The sequence below is a fragment of the Homo sapiens genome, chromosome 4 (genome assembly GCF_000001405.40).
Source record: "Homo sapiens chromosome 4, GRCh38.p14 Primary Assembly".
NCBI classification, from domain to species: domain Eukaryota; kingdom Metazoa; phylum Chordata; class Mammalia; order Primates; family Hominidae; genus Homo; species Homo sapiens.
The window spans coordinates 76428496-76449410 of NC_000004.12; the positions used below are offsets into that span (position 1 = coordinate 76428496).

At 39.5% G+C, this 20915-nt stretch overlaps 1 protein-coding gene across 1 annotated transcript in view; it reads left to right on the forward strand.

Annotated features, from left to right (window-relative positions):
• The window catches only part of SHROOM3 (shroom family member 3), a 348025-nt gene continuing 333843 nt past the window's right edge, over positions 6734-20915 (forward strand). Inside the window, exon 1 of the mRNA NM_020859.4 lies at positions 6734-7725. Coding sequence (NP_065910.3) covers positions 7558-7725 — 168 coding nt within the window. The 5' untranslated portion in view covers positions 6734-7557. The remainder of the gene's footprint in view (positions 7726-20915) is intronic.

The window sequence follows — 20915 nt, forward strand, 5'->3', positions numbered from 1 at the left end:
TGGAAGTCAGATAGCTAATAAAGGGAGATTGCCTGTTCTCCTCTAGGCCTTGTTTCTGCCTTTGAGATCATTGTCATTAGCATCTTTGAAGCCAACTAATCCTTTATCATAACCATCTTTTGTTTAAGATCTCAGTACCATTGTTTTTGCTGAGATATATTCTTTCTTTCTTTTTTTTGACAGAGTTTCACTCTTGTCACCCAGGCTGGAGTGCAATGGCACCATTTTGGCTCACTGCAACCTCCGCCTCCCAGGTTCAAGTGATTCTCCTGCCTCAGCCTCCTGAAGTAGCTGGGATTACAGGCGCCCGCCACCGTATTCTTATTAAGATCTTTTACTTCTATTTAGGAAGAAATAGTGTAAGTTTGCGGATATAATTCTAGCAGTTTTTAAATAATAATCTACTACAGTGACTTCTATAACAGTTGTGACTTCTGTCAGGGATCTAATATCAAGTATGTGCCATCAGATATTATTATTATTTGGATCTTTATGCATCTGGCAGTTTTCTGACTTTTCACTACAACCATGCTTACCATGATTAAGTGATGAATAATGATCTAATTAATCATAGTGTCATGTTTTACATTTCTTTACCTTTTATAAGCACTTTTTAAACTTACTGTGGTAAAATATACATAGGATAAAATTTATCTTTTTAACTATTTTCAATCGTACAATTCCATGGCATTCACATAGGCATATTGTTATGTAACCATTACCACCATCCATCTCCAGAACTTTTTCATTTTTCCAGACTGAAGCTCTGTACCCATTAAACAGTAACTCCTTATTCCCTCGTCTCTCATCCCCTGAAAGCACCATACTACTTTCGCTTTCTGTCAGTTTGACTACTCTAGGTATCTCATATAAATGGAATCATACAATATTTGTCCTTTTGTGTCTGGCTTATTTAACATAGTGTCTTCAGGGTTCATCTATGTTGCAGCATATATCAGAATTTCATTCATTTTTTTAAATAAAAAAGGATTTAGATCACAGATTTCATTCATTTTTAAGTCTGGAAAGTATTTCATTGCATGTATATTCTACATTTGGGCTACCTATTCATTTGTCCATGAAGTCCTTCAGTTGTTTAAAAACTAATTTTATTGAGCTATAATTTCCATTCAATAAACTGTATACATTTAAAGTGTACCATGTGATGAGTTTCGGCATACATATATGCACCTGTGAAACTACTGCTTCAAGCAAGACATGGAGCATTTAGATCATTCCCAAATAATTTGAGTTGATTGTGTTTTGATAGTTCTGCCACCAACTTATGATATTTGGTGAAGCAAATGCTGTAAATTGCATATTCAGCATCTATCCCCACTTCCTCCTTTCTCAAGAACCCCAGTGTTGAACACAACATTCTACAGAGCCCTGTGCTTCAGGGGAAGTTCTAGTAGGTAGATCTTGATTAGTTTAAATCTAATCTTTGTGCTTTCATTCCTCTTCCAAGTGACTGTTTTCAGAGGAAGCATTTGATCTACTTCATGGCATTGAGAAATGAGGGAAGATCAGCTGGGAAAGTTTTCCTCAATCTTTCTTTTCTTTTCTTTTCTTTTTTCTTTGAGACAGAGTCTCACTCTGTCACCCAGGCTTGAGTGCAGTGGCGCCATCTCCCTCACTGCAACCTCTGCCTCCCAGGTTCAAGCGATTCTTCTGCTTCAGCCTCTCGAGTAGCTGGGACTACAGGCATGCACCACCCCACCCGGCTAATATTTTTTGTATTTTTAGTAGAGACAGGTTTTCACCATGTTGGCCAGGCTGGTCTCAAACTCCTGACTTCAGGAGTCACCCACTTCAGCCTCCCAAAGTGCTGAGATTACAAGTGTGAACCACCGTGCCCGGTGTTTTTTCGTTTTGTTTTGTTTTAAATCAGCTGACATCATGCTTTGATCCCCAATCTTAAGGAGACACATGAAGACATGATTCTTTTTGCCTGTGAAAGGCTGCCTAGAGAGATTGCACAAACTTTAAAATAAGATTGATTTTTGTCTATTTAGGATTGTTCTGAGGCCTTCTAAGAAAGACTAAATAAACTTCCAACTTATAATTTAACAATTTATTAGGCCGGGCGCGGTGGCTCACGCCTGTAATCCTAGCACTTTGGGAGGCCGAGGCGGGTGGATTGCCTGAGCTGAGGAGGTCAAGACCAGCCTGGTCTGGTCTCAATCAAAAAGCTTGAGAATTGCCAGACTGGGTGAAACCCCGTCTCTACTAAAATACAAAAAAAAAGTAGTCAGGTGTGGCAGTGTGTGCCTGTAATCCCAGCTACTCGAGAGGCTGTGACAGGAGAATCACTTGAACCCGGGAGGCAGAGGTTGCAGTGAGCCGAGCCGAGATCGCCATTGCACTCCAGCCTGGGTGACAAAGTGAGACTCTGTCTCAAAAAAAAAAAAAACCCTATTTATTGTCTACAGTTAATTTACTTTACCGATTAGTGAGCCAGAATAGCCAGTAGATGTCGCTCTGATTTCATTTTCAGAGATAACCTACTGACTTTTCAATCTCTTAAATATTCCATCTAGAAGCATTTTTAAAAATCCAATAAGTTGACAATCACATTAAAAGTTTTAGCAAAAAATAAAGAGAAAAACATTAGGGCATACTAAGAAAAATTAAAATCAAGAAATGGGAATTTTCAAAAGATCAACTTAATTTTTCCTTCAGTGCTGTTAACAAATACAATGATGTGTGATTGCTAAAAAGTCAAAACAGTGATTAGGAAGATGACATTTAACAGACTGTTTGGTGTAGGGATGCTAAACAAGTGGTAGAGTCAATATGACTGATATATTTTTCTGTTCTGGGGCCATATTCACAATGACAGCAATATGAGCTCAATAACTCACAGTGGGAATTTTTCGTATAGAGACAGAAAATAAAGTTGTAAGCTACATTGGATCTATTTGTCATGAAGGGAAGAATCTGATCAAGAAAGCAGGAGTAATTCTAAGTTAGAGGCAGAAGGAAGGAGAGAAGTAATAGACAGAAAAACACAATGTGAAGCTTCATTTTTGGTACTGTGCTAAGCTTCTCTAAACTTTCTCCCAAACCAGGAAAAACCACGAAGGGGTTTCCTTGTGTATTACTCTGAACTCTTTCAGTTGCAAGAAGCAGAAACTCAACCCCCGCTGGTTTAAGGAAAAAATAAACAGGTACCTATGGGGTCATAAAACTGGTAATTGTAGGAGTGGGGTGGCTTTAGGCCTGGCTGCATCTGCTTATGGTGGCCTAAAGCCACCCCACTCCTACAATTACCAGTTTTATGATCCCATAGGAACTTGGAAAGTTAAGGGTCTTCAGGGTCAAAACTGCTTTTGTAATAATACTAAGACATTGTGTACCTTTTCCACTTGCTCTCTCAAAAATGTATAGGGGAATCTTCCAGTGGCTATATGCCATGTGATATTGAACAAATTGAATACAGAAGCAGATGGTAGAATCCAACCATCTTCTACTAACCTGGCCATTAAAGAGAGTTGCAAATATGTGAAACAGTGCCACTCTTCTTGGTAATATTTTTTGTTTGAGACAATGTAATTATTTTTCATAAAAATATTAATATGTTACTTTAACATATAAAGATTTATTATTTTTAAATGAATTAATACATAAGTATTTTAAAATGTTCTTTTCTATTTTCTAATATAGTAAATATTGATCAATACAAAACACATAAAATTTATCTGGAGTCTTCAATAATTTTTAAGCATGTAAGGGTTCCTGAAACCAAAAAGCTTGAGAATTGCCAGCTTCAGTAAGGTACAATTGGGCACAAGGCTCAATGGTATCACCAGAACTGTCTCCCCCTTATCATAGACTGCTTTTCTCAGAGCTGGTTTCCTTCTCAGGCGTGTGATATCAAAGATGACTTCCAGCTGGGGCGTGGCAGCTCACACTTGTAATCTCAGCACATTGGGAGGCTGAGGCGGAAGGATCACTTGAGCCCAGGAGTTTGAGATCAGCCTGGGCAACAGAGTGAGACCCTGTCTGTACAAAACAATTTTTAAAACTGGCCAGGCATGGTGACATGCACCTGTAGTCTCAGCTACTTGCGAGGCTGAGGTGGGAGCACTGCTTGAGCCTGGGAGATTGAGGCTACAGTAGGCCGCCATCACACCCTGCATTCCAGCCTGGGCGACAAAGCTAGACTCTGTCTCAATTAAAAAAAAAATAAAAAATAAAAAAAGACTTCCAGCAACTCAAAAATTTTATCTACCAACCTAGCAAACCATAGGAGAAAATGCCATTTTTTGACAGCACTAGTAAAATTTCTAGTTATAACATTGGTCACACTTAAGTCTCATGCCCATCCACATATCAATCATTTGAGCCAGGGGTTGGTTGATTCCTGGGTCATTACGTCCACCCTGGAGCCGGGGACAGGGGCAGCCCACCAGCACCACAGGATCGAGGAAGAAGTGGTTCCCTAGAAAGATGATGAATGGGGCATAAAAGAAGTCCTCTATTAGAAAGCCTGAGTCCTATGCTGTTCTCAGTTAGAATCCCAACCTTTCTTTCCACTGTCAGCACCTTGAGACAATAGAGTTGCCTTTCTCTTCTTGGGGAGGAGTCTGATTGCATTCTGTAATTAAGAGTTTGCATCCAAATCACATATCCTAACAGAAGTTCTTCTTACGAATTAGCAGTGCTATGCCAAAAGAAAGTTGTCTTTTCACCGTAAACTATGCAGAACACCTGACTTAAGCTAGGATTTCATTCCTAAACGTCTGAAGATTTAAATTTCATGCCTGCCTGTGTTGCTTGCAGGATTACTCTGGTCAGATCATTTAACCTTCTGGTGGCCTCTGTGTCCTTACCTCTAAAATCAAGGGTGTGGGAGGATTGTCTCTTGCAGCTTTAACATTCTTTGAATCTGATCAACAGAAGATGGAGGAAAAAAGTTCTTCCAAACCTGGTCTATCAACTGCTATAGTGAAGGTCCACAAAATGAAGTTTTACATTTTTTTTTCAGATTACATATCAATTTTGGTTCTATGTTTGTTTCTTCAATATTTTTGGTGATAATCTAAAATGGAGATTTCATCAGTCTGCAAGCACTGGGTTCATATTATCTTTTCCTTATTTCCTTTGCCTTTAGCTTCATTACTTTTTTTGTTTATTATTTTTTAAATTGACAACTAAAAATTATATATACTTATGGTGTACCACATGATGTTTTGATATAAGTATGCATTGTAAAATGGCTAAATCAAGGAATTAACCTATTACCTCACATACTAATTTTTTTTGTGGTGAGAGCACTTAAAATCTAATCTTAGCAATTTCCAAATATACAATACATTGTTATAACTATGGTCATCATGCTGTACAATAGATCTCTTGAGCTTATGCCTCCTAACTGAAATTTTGTATAGCTATGTTACTTTTAATATTAAATGTGGATTCTGTAAAATCCCAGTTTTTACAAAATGTATTAGGAGTAACATAATAAGAGCCTCATAAATTAATTTTTTCAGAAAGAAAGCTGTTCATTTACCTAGGACTTTTATTTAAAATACATATGTTCTTTGAAATGAAAGAAAAGCTAATGTTTCTCCATTTATTCTAACTTACAAATTAAGCTGTAAAAGAAAACCACAATAGAAATTGCGTAAATTACCCTTAAGAATCAGCCAATTTTTACCACATACTTTCATTTGGTACACCTTAGGTTTCCTTATGTTTCCATTCACATACTACCATTACATAAGGTTTTACTTTTTTTTTTTTTTTTTTGTCTTTGAGCCCTTCAAGTGAAGTTACCATTGAAAATCAAACAATACCTGTCCAGTGTTGTAAATTAAATATCGTGTAGTTTGATATCATATACCTGCCTTTCCATATCAGCCTTTCATTAATTATAAGTACAAACACCAAAATAATTGTTATCAAGCCCCACAGTAGTTTTTAACTTCAGTTTTCAACTTAATTCTCATTATCCCATACTTTTAAACAGAAAAAAGTTTTAGTACATATATTACCTGGAAGTAATTCTAATCTGTTCCAATAACTAAATAGCTGAGGCTTCTGGGTTAGATATGGTTATCTTCTACTGTTCAAATTTTTAATACAAAGCATGAATGTTAAATTTGTATATAACATTATTACAAAATGACACTGGTAACATGAAATCAGAACAACATTCTTTCCCGAGTACCTAGTACTTACCCACAAGGCATTGTAGATTTCTTTTCATTTAAAGAGTGGATAACAATCTTGGAGTAGATAACAATGAAAACCTAGAAAAAAAAACCCACCTCCTGTTTTTATTGAGTCAAACAAGCAGAACTTTGATTGGAAAGTCCCATTTCATATATTACACTGGTAGTATTTTCTTCTAACGAAAAAAAAAAAGCCCTTGTGCCACCACCTTGACATGTACTTAAACGTTTACCCAAATCACTTAGGCATTGCTTCTCAAACTTGGCTGCATAGCAGAATTGCCTGGAGGGTTTTTAAAAACACAAATGCCTATGTCTCACTCCCTGAAATTCTCCTTTAATTGGTACGAGGCGGGGCTATTCTAGGAACTATTTTCTATCCCTTGGCAATTAGCCATCTGTATAGTATTTTTAACTTCCTACGTGTTATTAACTGTAAGACTGTTTGAATTGTCAGGTCTTTGTGGTGAGCTGAATTCTGCATGGCAGTGCTTACTGTGCAGAAAGGTTGCAATGCCTCACTTTGCCTTAATCCATGTTCCTCTAACTTCCTTACTCTTTCTCTCAAGAGGAGGCAAGTGGCTGTGGCGGCCGCAGCAGTGGCTGATCATCACTGAAAATACCAAAGAAAAGAACTGAGCTGCCTCCTTCATATTTTTTCCATTGAGGATTAATTTACCGTGCTTTTTCATTTTCTCTACATCCTGCAAAAGTTTTTTTCTCTCCTAAGAAACAAACTATGAACTGATTGTTGAAAAAAAGAAGTAAAAAGTTTTAGCACAGCTTCTCTGTCTCTTCGGGACAAGTTAGAAAATTCTGAAGTGAGCCGAAGCATAGTAAGTGCTTTCTTTCTTTTTAAGCTACTTCTGGGGAGGGAGGAGGCTATTGTAATGGTAAATTTCACTCCGAGAGGAAGAAAGGGTTGATAATCAATCAAAAATGAGGTATTCCTTTGAGTATTTGTGATTTTCTTACTATATTGTAAGATGCTTTTAATTTTCTCTGTAAAATAGGCAGAAATGGTTTTAGTGTGTGTATGTGTGAAATAAAAGCTCAGAAAAGCAATCTTCAGAGCGCCACTGAAGGAAGTTTTGACGAACGGAGTAGAGATGTATACCACTTGGGGGCTTCAGTGAGAACCCAGAATTCCTGGAGGAGGATTTACATTCAGAAATGTTGAAGTGAAAATTCCTTCTGGTTCAGCATCTTGGAGTTCAGCTTGGAAGAACATTTTACGTATGGAAGAATTTGCTTCTCCAAACCTCTCTTTTGGCCATTGTGTGTCCTGAAGGATGGGACAACTTGTGCTGTAGAAGCACTGCTTGCCTGAGTTTGCTTCAGGCATTTTAAATTTAACTTGAGGGATCATGTGTTTGGCATGATGAGGACCACTGAAGACTTCCACAAGCCTAGTGCCACATTAAACTCTAACACGGCCACCAAGGGAAGGTACATTTATCTGGAGGCATTCCTGGAGGGAGGAGCTCCCTGGGGTTTTACTCTAAAGGGTGGCCTGGAGCACGGAGAACCATTAATCATCTCTAAGGTATGTTTCTTTTTCCAATATTGCCTTTATTCAAATTGTTTTTTTCAACTTGTCAGATTTGTCAAAAATGCAAAATAATGAGAACTGCCTTAATATAACTTAATTTGCTGTTTCATGCCTTTCTGATTATCTAGAAATATTTTGGATAGCCTGGGATTTGAAAGAAAAATGTGTCTAGCTCATTTATTCTATGAAATCCGAAGAAAAATATGCCTGTTTGATGGATAATCTTCTCTTTTTGTGAATGAAATCGCATACAATCAGTTACCACATGAGCTTTTCAGTTATAAATCAGATTAAAGATTAATAACATGGTTAAGATGGTGGCATGGTATATATTTGTGCATTCAAAAATATCTGCTTTTTCTCTCTTCAACTGAAAATAGCATCTAAAAATATTTTAAGTTTGCTTATAATTCTGGATAATAGATTGCATAAATACCATGTGTTGCTTTTTTTCCCCACACTCAGAAAGGAGAATTAAATCAGCTTTCAGCATAACTCAAGATCAAAACATTTCTGCCTCTCCTATTTATCTGTATATTTGAATCCCTTTTTAAACCTTAGTCATCCTGCAGCATACCTCAATTCTTCATTTATCTTTTGGTGTGGGTAGTCATACCAATGAAATATTTATGTACTGGGGTTAATATTTCTATTTTTCTCTTAAACTACAGATTAACATTACTTGTTATAATATTGCTTTTAAATTTTTAGAGTATTTAATAGTCTGATACAATAGATTATAATGGCTTTTCACACATGTGCATTCATCAAGAAACATTTGTAATTAAGGGAGAAAAAATTTTTAATTTGAGGGTGGGAAGAAGGTAATATGGATTGCATTTGAGCTCTGTTATTGGTTCAGGTTACTTTTCATATCCCCAGAAATAATTCCAAAAGGTTATTTTTCAAATTACTGAAGTAATTCTTACTGTGGATGAGCCAGGGAGAACTGGGTTTCACAGTGATAAGCCACGAGTGCACGGGACACCATTATAAGTTGTATGACTTTTCCTTAACTTTCTTAAGTAAAACAAAAGGATGTGCATATGTGTGTGTCAGTTAGGAAGGCTTCCCCCTGTGAAAAAAATTCAAAACCGAGTTTATAGTGGCTCTCAGTAAATTGGGGTTTGTTTTTCTCATATTACAAGAAGTTTGGAGGTAGATTTTCCAGGCAAGGGGAGCAGCAGCTCAATAATGTGATCAAGGACCCCACTTATCTCTCCACTCTGCCATTCTTATGATGTTGGCTTTGTCTTCATGGTTGCATGATGGATCCCACAACTCCAGCATTGATTGCATCTTCATTCCAGACAGGTTTTTGGCTTTTTGTTTCTCATTAGACCTTTGCTTTCATCTCATTAACCAGAACTGTACCCTGTGCCTGTCTTTAGGCCAATCACTGGTAAGAAATGCCAGTGATTAATACAGACTGATTAGGATTTCTTTCACAGGTTTCTACAATAAGGACCTACTCTTCCTGAAGTCAAGGAATCATTGCCCACTGTTTGAATGATTTGAGGTTCTTTTTGCAGGAAGAAAGAGGGCATGGTTGCTGAATAACAGATAATTCTGCAATGAACATAAATATTGTCTCGGCATTTAAAAAGTCTAGTTGTACACAATTTGCCTGTCCCTTAATGATAAAATATTCTGTATCTATACACTACAGTATCTGACAGTTTGCTGACAGAAAGGTCTAATCCTCCCACTAATGAGCCAGCTTCTCTAAGCCTCCATTTTACCTGCAGAATGGGGCTATCCTACTATCTACTTTAATGGGTTGTGTTTAAATGCAACCATGCATTTAGGTTAGTGTCTAGTACACAGAAGGAGCAAAGATTATGATTATTGCTTTTCATTATTCTAGCAGACATGTGTAGTAGGAGACAGGTCTGGCTGCTGTAAAAAGATCCAAAATAACAATAATATAGGAATTTATTTCTCTGACATAACAGTCTGAGCATAAGCCAAACCAAAAGATGGCTCTATGATGTCAGGGACCCAAGTTCCTTCTATTTTCTTACTTCCATCCTGGAGTGATATCTCATCTTCATGGTCCAAGTGACTTGCCACCACATCTGCTTTCCAGTCAGTAAGAAGCAGGGAAGAGGGAAAAGAGAAGGCAATCTCCTTTCTTTCAAGGATCCAATCTGGTCCAATGTGCTCTGTCCAATATGGTGGCCCACAGTCACATGTGACTATTTCTATTTCAATTAAAGGTAACTAAAATGAAGTAAAAAATTTTAAACTCTGTTTAAATGTTCCTCATTTGCACTTGTTGCATTCCAAGAGTCGTACTGTTCCGAAGCTCTTGAACATCTTCCCCCATGTTGTCTGTCTGGCAAACTCTTTAAAGCTCCATTTCTTCTTCTCTCTGAGGTTTTCCTGATGTCACCCAAGTTGAGTTCCGTGGTCTCCCTTCTACACTTCCATATTATGCATGTATTACATTGAATCATAAAATTTTATTTCGTTGATTGCCTTCTCAGAAGTCTGTGAGCCTTTTTAGGGCAGGGACTATTTTTTTTTTTTCATCTCTATCACATCTAAATCAGAGCCTAGGTACACAAATGTTTGTTGAGTATATGAAAGGGCATGGCTGTGTCTTACTCATTTTGCATTTTCAGGATCTAGCACAGTGCCTGGCACAGAGTAGGCACTCAATAACTTTTACTGAATTAATAAGCAAAAGACCAAACAGAACCAATGAGGATGCCAGGCAGACCTCCATGTGGGGCATGTATTAGTTTCCTATTGCTGCTGTAACAAATTACTACAAACTTATGGCTTAAAAACAACACAACTTACAGTTCTGTAGGTGACACACCTCACACAGATCTCACTGAGCTAAAGTCAGTGTGTCAGCAGGGCTGTGTTCCTTGCTGGAGGCTCTAGGGGAAGATGTGTTTTCTTGCCCTGTCTAGCTTCTAGAGGCTGCCCACATTCCCTGGCTCATGGTCCCCTTCCTCCATCTTCAAAGTCTGCAACAGCAGGTTGAGTCCTTCTCACCCTGCAGCTGACCTCTGACTGCCTCTCTCTTTCACTTTTAAGGCCTCTTGTGAGTACCTTGGACCTACCAGGATAATCCTGGATAATCTCTCTATTTTAAAATCAGCTGGTTAATAGCCTTAATTGTATTTGCAACCTTAATTCACCCTTACTAAATAACCTGACATATTCACAGGTTTCAGGGATTAGAATGCAGACATCTTAGGGGAGACAGGGCATTATTTTGCCTACCACCAGGCATTTGAGCATTGGTAGAAGTCTATGTAATTAAGGCAGTACCAGGGATGAGACTAAAGTGAAATGTGGTGGCTGATCATGCGTATACTAGATCTTCTCTCTAAGACAATGAAAGAAAATGCACATTAGCTCATACACTGCTAACCAGATGTCTACTATTCTCCCAAGTTAGGGTGACCCTCCATTGTAGGGGAAGGGAAGGGATAGTACACATTGAGTCACACATATGAAAGGCACAAACACATTATACAAGGCAGCTATAAACTGCCAGGTTATGGATGGCAATATAATAAATGAAGTATCATTTTTCTTTAGATATAAATGAGGCAGGAGAATGAATGGCCGTAAAGGATCTACAAAGGGTAACAATAGAATAAATCATTTTTGAATTGCTTTCTTTGGGATTTAATATCCTTGGAAAGGAAAGGTGGGGTTGTGGAAAGCGCCTCTGTAATCTGTGAACTTCAAAAAGAAAGGGTAACTTTTAAAAAATTGTCATTGTAAGTGGATGCTCAGGTAATTCAATAGTCCAGGAAGTTGGTGGCATGATTTTATTATGATTCACTTACTCTGTATTGTGGCTCAGAAAAGCAGTTCCACCTGCAGAAGAGATGCACCTGCTCCCAGGGCTCATAAGCCAAGTAACAACAATAAACAACAACAGCAGCAACTGCCGGTACTTATTTAGTGTTTGTGATGTTCCAGGCTCTATTCCAAGAGATCTACGTGTTCACCCATTTAATTTCCACAACTTCACAGAGAGGGTAACACTCTTATCCCAATGTTATATGTGGGACACGCACCCAGAATTAATTTGAGTAACTTGCTGAAGCTCTCATAGCTACTAAGTGATGCAGTCAGGATTTGAACTCATGCATTCTGGTTCCAGAGTCCATGCGCCTCACACCCTATGCCATTCAGTCTCCATTGCCTACTGAACATTTGGCTCTCTCTAGATTCTAGAGCTATTATCTGAGTGAAGTATGGGATTGATATTTCATTATATAAGTTTTTAAATCTATTCGGGGGAATTTTAAAAAATACATAGTCCAATAAGATTCCATAAAATAGGTCTGACTACTGCTCAGTCAACTGCTTTAAGTAGTTCAAGACCCATAAAATAAGGGGACACCTGCTGTTCTTGGCAAATATATTCATGGTGTCTCCACCTGTAGAGGCATTTCTTTGTGCTTTTCAAACATGGACTTCAGAATTTAAAGGTAGGCCACTGCCCTGGTCTCTTTTGTCTCTTACATCATCAACACTCAGCAATGTGCTGGTCAAAGCACTCCTCCATCAGTGCTTATATTTCTGATTTCTACTCCCCTGGAAGGTATCTGTGCTCTAGCTGGACTATCTCTATGCCATCTCATTATAAATCTTGCTGGTTCCATCTTCCACACTGTCACCTCTCCTTCTCCAAAACTGCTTCCTCCACCTGTAATATCACCACCTTTTTTCTATCAATCCAAATCTTAGCCTCCTTGTCCACCAAGACTTGACTCACTGACTCTATTTCATCAACAGCTTTCCATTCTTTATCTATGGAGGCGAGGGGGAGGTGCTTAAGGCTCATTTTACCAGTTCTTCAGCCACAGTCCTGAGTTCAATTTGTTTTTTTTTTTTTTTTTTTTTGAGACAGAGTCTCACTCTGTCGCCCAGGCTGGAGTGCAGTGCAGTGGCGCGATCTCGGCTCACTGCAAGCTCCGCCTCCTGGGTTCACGCCATTCTCCTGCCTCAGACTCCCAAGTAGCTGGGACTACAGGCGCCTGCCACACGCCTGGCTAATTTTTTGTATTTTTAGTAGAGACAGGGTTTCGCCGTGTTAGCCAGGATGGACTCGATCTCCTGACCTCGTGATCCACCCACCTCGGCCTCCCAAAGTGTTGGGATTACAGGCGTGAGCCACCGCGCCCAGCCCCTGAGTTCAATTTGAAATGGATTTTTAGGCAGTTCCCCAAGACCTGGATCTGGTTGAGGACCCAAAGTCATCTTTTTCGTCTCCTTCCAACTACCACATTAGATCAGCTCGTCATTCTGACCTTTTAAAATAGCCAATCCTTTCTGACTTTTTCCCTTTCTTGCTTTTTCCTTTAACATCCTTTGCCCTTCCTACTAGGGTAGCCTCATCTCTCTGCTGCTCTTCAGCTAGTTTGTTTCTTCCCTTATTGTTCAATCTATCTTTGTCCTGCCTTTGCATTCATTCTTCTTTCCTCTTATCTCCCCAGTGGCTTTATTTTTTATTTTAATTATTATTTTTTGTTTTTGAGATAGAGTTTCGCTCTTGTTGCCCAGGCTGGAGTGCAATGGCACGATCTCGGCTCACTGCAACCTCTGCCTCCTGGGTTCAAGCGATTCTCCTGCCTCAGCCTCCCAAGTAGCTGGGATTACAGGCATGCGCCACCACACCCAGTTAATTTTGTATTTTTAGTAGAGACGGGGTTTCTCTATGTTGGTGAGGCTGGTCTCAAGCTCCCAACCTCGAGTGATGTACCTACCTCGGCCTCCCAAAATTCCGAGATTACAGGCGTGAGCCACCCCACTCGGCTTCCCAGTGGCTTTTTATTATACAGGTATATAAAGGTCCTATAAAGGTAGTTGTTTGCATTTGGCGTCCTGCCAATAAATTGTACTCGTTAAGGCCAGATGGGTTTTACTCATGCTGTATATATTTCTTCTCTTAGCAAAATCTTTCTCATTTACACATAGCAAATGCTTAATAAATGTTAAATGACTTACAGGATTGTACAGCTATAGGAAAATTAGCAATCATGTAATAACTTTCTTCGTACACAGAGAGAAAACTGAGATGCAAAAAAAGTTGCCAAGATGGTTTCAGTCTTAGCAAATTGAGAGTATGTGTGTATCTGTGTGTATGTAAAGCCCCAGCTAGTAAGGAAGTAATTGCTTTCTCTGATTGTGCCCTTTATAGTTTTTTTTTTTTTTTTTTTTTTGGAGACAGAGTCTTGCTCTGTCGCCCAGGCTGGAGTGCAGTGGTGCGATCTCGGGTCACTGTAAGCTCCACCTCCCGGGTTCACGCCATTCTCCTGCCTCAGCCTCCTGAGTAGCAGGGACTATAGGCGTCCGCCACCACGCACGGCTAATTTTTTGTATTTTTAGTAGAGATAGGGTTTCACCGTGTTAGCCAGGATGGTCTCGATCTCCTTACCTTATGATCCGCCCACCTCGGCCTCCCAAAGTGCTGGGATTACAGGCGTGAGTCACCGTGCCCGGCCCCACCCTTTATACTTTTCTATGAATCCTAGCTCCCCTGTTAGACTGTTACCTTCCAGAAGCTAAAGACCCTTCATTGATTCCTTTTCTCTCTCTCTCTCCCCTTCCCTTCTTTCCTTCCTCCTTTTCTTTTTATTATTCGTGGTGCTTAAACTATACGTAACAATTATGAAAATGAAAATGTGAATGAATAAAGAGGAAGATAAGTATTAGAGAGGATATTCTTAAAAATCTTTGTTAGAAGCTACCTAGGCCAGTGTGCACACAGGTTACTAGAAAAACCTGTTTAAAAACTAAGGCAAGCAGGTTAAGTTGGGCTCAGTCTGACCATGTCTTTCATATGCACATATGTAATGTTTGGTAAATGTCTGTTGAATTGAATTAGATTGAGAAAAAAGGGAAACTCATGTTTTTCTTTAACTTTTAAACCTTTAAAAATTAACTATTATTTTAGTTAAAGTCTTACGCATTTTTTAGTACAAATTAATTTTGATATTTCCTATCAATGTTGTTGGAAATAACTTTTATTCAAGTAGCATGCTGACATGCTGTACCAAATGGGTCTTAGCATCAGTAAGAACTCTGCTTTCTTTCACAGCTAATAGATTCCCAAGGCTTTGCCTTCTATGCAGGGGACACAATTTATTTTAAGAAATATTCATCTCATTTTAGTGAGCCCACAGTGTGATTGGAGAGGCATAATGAGAGACTTTCTATCAATTTTTGAAAAAACAAAACCTCAAAGGACATGCTGGATCTTAACTAATCCATAGACAGACTCTTCCACATCTCTCCCTTTGATGTAGTTCCAAACAGTGAACATCTTATCCAAAGGGCTGCAGTGCAGAGTCCTTGTTCTCCCACTTGGTTCATCCCAGGAGTCCATCCATCTCTTGTGCTCTGACATCCCAGGCACTTCTCAATGAAACAAAATGAGGCAAAGATTCTCTACTAAATCTAAGCACTGTTTCTCCCCCTCTTCTAATGACTTTCTCCACAAAGGCTACATGGGTACGCTGTGGATCTTGGTTTGTAGAATGGAAGTGATTCTTTTCTGCCTTCAGAGGAAGCTTTCCTGATTTGGCAGACCGATGTACAGAACACTCTGTCCTGGGCATCTGAACCTGAATTTGCACTTATGTCAACTACATTTTTTCATTCCTCAATATCTATTTGTTTTCTTCTCCATTTTCAGCAGTATTTTTTTCTTGGAGATTTATGAGATTATTTATTTATTTTGAGACAAGACTTCATTCTGTCACCTAGGCTAGAGTGCAGTGGCATGATCACAGCTCATTGCAGCCTTGACCTCCCTGGGGTGAGCTTCTTACCTCAGCCTCCCAAGTAGCTGGGATTAAAGGTGGACACCACCACACCCGGCTAATTTTTGTAGAGGTGGGGTTTTGCTATGTTTCCCAGGCTGGTCTCAAACTCCTCAGCTCAAGTGATCTGCCCACCTCAACCTCCCTAAGTGCTGAGATTGCAGGAGTGATCCACCACGCCTGGCCTAAACCTTTATTTTTGAATGCTCTTTGGTGCATGTATATTAATTTATATTTGTAATTTCTATGTTATATATATGTATATATGTATATATATATTTTCATTTTAAGTGAGGTTTTCCAGCATAGAAAAAAGCTTACATCCCAGACAATATAGGGCTCTGAGTGGGAATAAACAAGTTTTATTTCTACCCTAGCTTTTACTGGCTATGTGACCATGGCAAGTAACAGCCTTCTTGAACCTCAGTTTCCAGTTTCCTCATCTCTCTTTCTTTCTTTTTTTTTTTTTTTTTTTTTTTTTTTGAGACGGAGTCTTGCTCTGTCGCCCAGGCTGGAGTGCAGTGACACGATGATCTTGGCTCACTGCAACCTCCACCTCCCGGGTTCAAGCGATTCTCCTGCCTTAGCCTCCCAAGTAGCTGGGACTACAGGCATGGGCCCCATGCCTGGCTAATTTTTGTATTTTTAGTAGAGATGGGGTTTCACCATATTGGTCAGGCTGGTCTTGAACTCCTGACTTCGTGATCCGCCTGCTTCGGCCTCCCAAAGTACTGGGATTACAGGCATGAGCCACCACGCCTGGCCAGTTTTCTCATCTTTCAAAGGCACCAGGCATGGTGGCTCACACCTGTAATCCTAGCACTTTGGGAGGATGAGTCAGGTGGATCATTTGAGTCCAGGAGTTCAAAACCAGCTTGGGCAACATGGCAAAACCCTGTCTCTACAAAAAATACAAAAATTTGCCAGGCATGGTGGTGCATGCCTGTGGTCCCAGCTACTCAGGAGGCTGAGGTGGGAGGATCGCTTGAGCCCAGGAGGTGGAGATTACAGTGAGCCAAGATTGTGCTACTGCACTGTAGCCAGGTGACAGAGCCAGACATTGTCTCAAAAAAAAAAAAAAAAGGAACATTCTTACCTAATGAAGTTGTTATAAGTATCCAACATAGTATAAGCTATGCAATAGTGCTTTGTAGGTATCCAGCATAGGTAGGCAACTCATATGCCAAAGATGATACTTGGCTGATTTTCTGTATCATGGCCAGCAGTTGCTACCTCACACTGAAACACTGAACAGATTATTCCCTGCCATCATAGAGCTTATATTCCAACAGAAGGGGACTGGCAATAAACATGTTTGTATATGCTAATTTCAGGGTGTGGTAAGTATTATTAAGAAAAAAAATACCCAATACGATATGTTCCAGAGTGATAGTGTCTGTGAGGTAGAGGTATGCCACATGGTGATTAGAGAAGGGTTTTCTGAGGAGATGACATTTGAGCCAAGACCTAATAAGAAATAAGAAGCCAGACATGCAAAGAGGTTTATAAGTTGGGCTGAGGTAGGAGAGTCTTAGAAAGTTCTAGAAACAAAAAGAAAGTCAGTGTTATTGGAGTACAGTAAGCGAGAGAGTAGTATGAGAAATGGAAAGGTAGGCTGAGGTCAGATCACATAAGGCCTTGCAGGCTGTGGAAAGGACCTTGGACTGGATCTAAATGCAGGGTGTGAGGGTAGATCGCACCAAGAGTCTTTCTCTATTCATGGTGAAATGGACAGACCCATGGCAGGTACTTAAACCCTGGGAGGTTTTTAGTACTGGCTCTTAAAGCCACCTTCTTCCTCCCTCTCATGTACATTTCTAAGGTACTTCCTGGGTCTACAACAGGACAGGGCTTTCCAAAAGACAACTGTTAACCAAAAGACAACTGTCAACATCATAGTAACTTAGGGAATGATGCACAAAGAAACAGTAAATACTCTCTTTGCTGTTGGGAGAGTTTTCCCCCTCCACCCCATAACTCTTGATCTCTTGGGTTATTTTTCACTCTCAATTGACAAGACTTCCTGGGTTGCTTTTATCACCGTACTGTCAGTAACTTGACTGAGGTCCTGCTCTGTAACAGGCATGCTAGCTCATGTAAGCATTGCAAAACTCTGGGAAGTCCTATAGGTGGAGAGACTGGACTCTTGCTGAAGGTCATAAAACTACTAAGGTACACATCTAAGACCTTTTTAACTTTCAGCCTGAAAAATTTCTTTCAAAGTAAAAACTGCGTTGTCACTTTGTGATGCCAAAGAACCCTTCCATCTATGTTACCCCATATCTTGATAAACTGGTAAAAAAAAAAAAAAAAAGTGGAATGCATGAACTGTGTGCAACAGTCAGTCAACTTGGTGGCATCCTTAAGGTGCCCTGCTCGGTGAAATGGCGGCGGTGGGGGATGCACATCTACTTCTATTAACACTGGGAGTTCAACTGGGCTCTCTGCATCTTCCCAGGTGCTGCTTCCTGCTGCTTTTTACTTCTGCTAGACTCTGACCACTCTGGTTGTTTGGGTGGGGTATATCCCATCACATGGATAGGCCATGAAAAAACCTCAACCCCCAAGGCCTGGTACTCAAGGAGAAATACTAGACGAACATTAGATGGTTTAAAGCTAACAGGGACTGAAACCAGTTAAAAGAGGGAATCAGACATAAGTTGCAAACTGATAGAACAATGATCTGCTGGGGCACATGAGGTTCATGCCTCCCGACATGCTGATGAGCCCCGGTTATGAGCTGGGCACCACAACTGATGGTCTTTTATGAAGGAGTGCTCTTTACACCAAACTTTATCTCATTTTGGTTGTCCCTTTCTAGCCCTTGCTTAGTTCAAAATGTAGTACATCTGCTGTGCTCATCCAGCTTCATCTACTGCTGAGTTGGCTGTGTCCACGCTCAATCTGTCTGCTCTGGTTTCATGATGGTCACTAGCATTCACTTTCCCTGCAAGGCCTACTCGCCGGCTTTCCTAATAGTACACTCTCTTGGCACGATCCTGGGAACTTCACGTACAGTTGTTACCCTCAAAGCCATTGCTACCTGCTAGGGTCTTGGTTCAATTGGCCTCATCTCTCACTCATTCTTGGTTCCTGGAAACCTGGTACAGACAGATCCTAGTATTCTAAAGATCTCAAAATTTAAAAATCATTGTGACATGAATTTGAAGTCAAAACCCAGGCAATTTAAGTGGAAATAAGCATTCTTCAGGTTAGTCAAAGTGCTTAGCACTTTGTATATTAAAGTGTATCCTGAGCCACACATTTGCTAGAAGGTAAGAAGAAAAATTGGACTCTAGAATCAATTGCCTTTCTCTTTTCCTTTGAAAAGTTAAAATTTTTAATGAAAGAAGTTGTGTGGGTACAATGTAAGCTTTTATCATCTTGCATGTGTCCTCTGAGAGGTTCACATTTTTGAGGCCTTGTCTCATGGAAACTGGGAAATGAGCTTCTGGAATTCAGACCCAGGATCTGGCTGCATTCCAGAAATAAATATACATGTTGGGCGTTGAGATAGACAATTAAAAGAATAGGAGAGTGTGCAAACTTTTGAGAATGAGAAGGCAGAAAATAGACTCTTTTCTCTCATGCTTTGCTTTTGCTTTTGTTTATTTTTTATATTTTTACTTTTGAGTATCAGCTAGTGAGTAGCAGGGCAAAAACAAGGCAGCCATTGATCTAAGTGTAAGGCAGCAGGAGGAAGGTTAAGAGAATGAGTGTTATTCTTTAGGACTACATTCATAGTTGCATGGTGTTGCTCTTGGCTCAAAGTCTACAATTAAATCAGTTGTTGGCACTCCCTTGAAAGCATTACTATCACAGTTTCCCCTACATATGTAAGTCAATAAATTTGACCTTTAAGAAGGACAGTTGGTGTAGACCCCCTCCACTGGGCCAACACATATTGCAAATTTCTGAACTCAGGCCCTGCAAAGTACTACTGCCACCTTGCTTCTTTAACAGAGAAGGCAAAATAAACAGAGGAGGATTCCATGGTATAAAAAAGAAAAAAATACATTATTTATATTTAAATAAATAAAATTATTTATAGAGCATTATTTATATGTGTCAGTCTGCTGTGGGTCAGGTACTATGTTAGATTCTTTTATTTATTATTTTGTGGAATGAGATTTGTTTTTATATATGAGGAAAGAGGTTTTTCATAAAAGATGGAGCCAAGATTTAAAGCTAACTCATTTCATTCATTAGTTATCATATTTAGTCAACACATCATTTATTGAGTGCCTAAAATCTGACAGCACTGGGAAACAACAGAAGATGAGGTCACTGCACCCTAAAGGAGCATGTTCTCGTTTTTTCTTCTTATACCACTGCAACTGACCCGTCCACATTTCCTCACCTTCATTTCTGTGTGCATTGGCTGGACTTCCAGCTGTCAGCATCTGCAATTCTTTGCTTGGAAGCCCTTTGCCACAGTAATGACACCAAGAGCAACCCTCCATGACCAACTGGAGTTGGTACGTAAGCAGCTTAGTTCTTTCATCTCTCAGATGGGATGACTCTAAGGTGTATGTTTTCCACTAGCACCTAGAATTTCTTCAGAATCCAACTCCAGTTGCCCACAGTTGTAGCTGGCTTGATCAAACATCTATGTCAGCTGCCTTCCCTTTTCTACCTCATGTTCCCACTTCCTTGTCAGCTTTCTTTACCCCCAGGTAAACTACTTGCATTTGAAGTCTTGTCTCAGGGTCTGTTTCTGAGGAAATCCAAACTAAGATGACCACCATTTAGAGAATGCTTACTAAGGGATAGCCAGACCCTAAAGACTAATGTAGATCTATCTGTTTCCAAAATCTGTGATCTTTGGAGCATTGCACTGTACTATGGAATTCAAGCGGAAGGAATCCCATAGAATCTTACACTTAATCTTTTCTTGGGTACTAAGGAAAGTGGAAATCCATCCCTAGACAGGATATTTTGTAGTTCTCTCTTTCGGTCTTCACCCTCTCATGGGATGGGTGTGTTTTCTCTTTTCTCCACAGAATTGACTGAAAAGTCTCATTCTGCTTTTATCATCACTTCATTTCTCTGAATGAATCAAGCATCTCTGAATGAAATCAAGATTTTCTCCCTCCCGTCTGAGAGTAGGATCCACTCTCTTGTTCTATAGGTTCTCTTTTGTTCTATAGGTTAAGGGTTAAGGAAAATGTGACCCCCTTGAACAGAATAGATAGAGAAAATTATTCATTTGGGGATCTCTGAGGAGAGAAATTCTTTTCTAGAATTTTATTTATATTGCTTCTTTTCTTACTCAACTTATACTACAACATAGACTAAAAAGAAAAGTGGATACATAACTGTTTTTTTAAGTCCAGAATATTTGACAATATAATGTGGTAATGGTGTGAAGTTTTACACCTA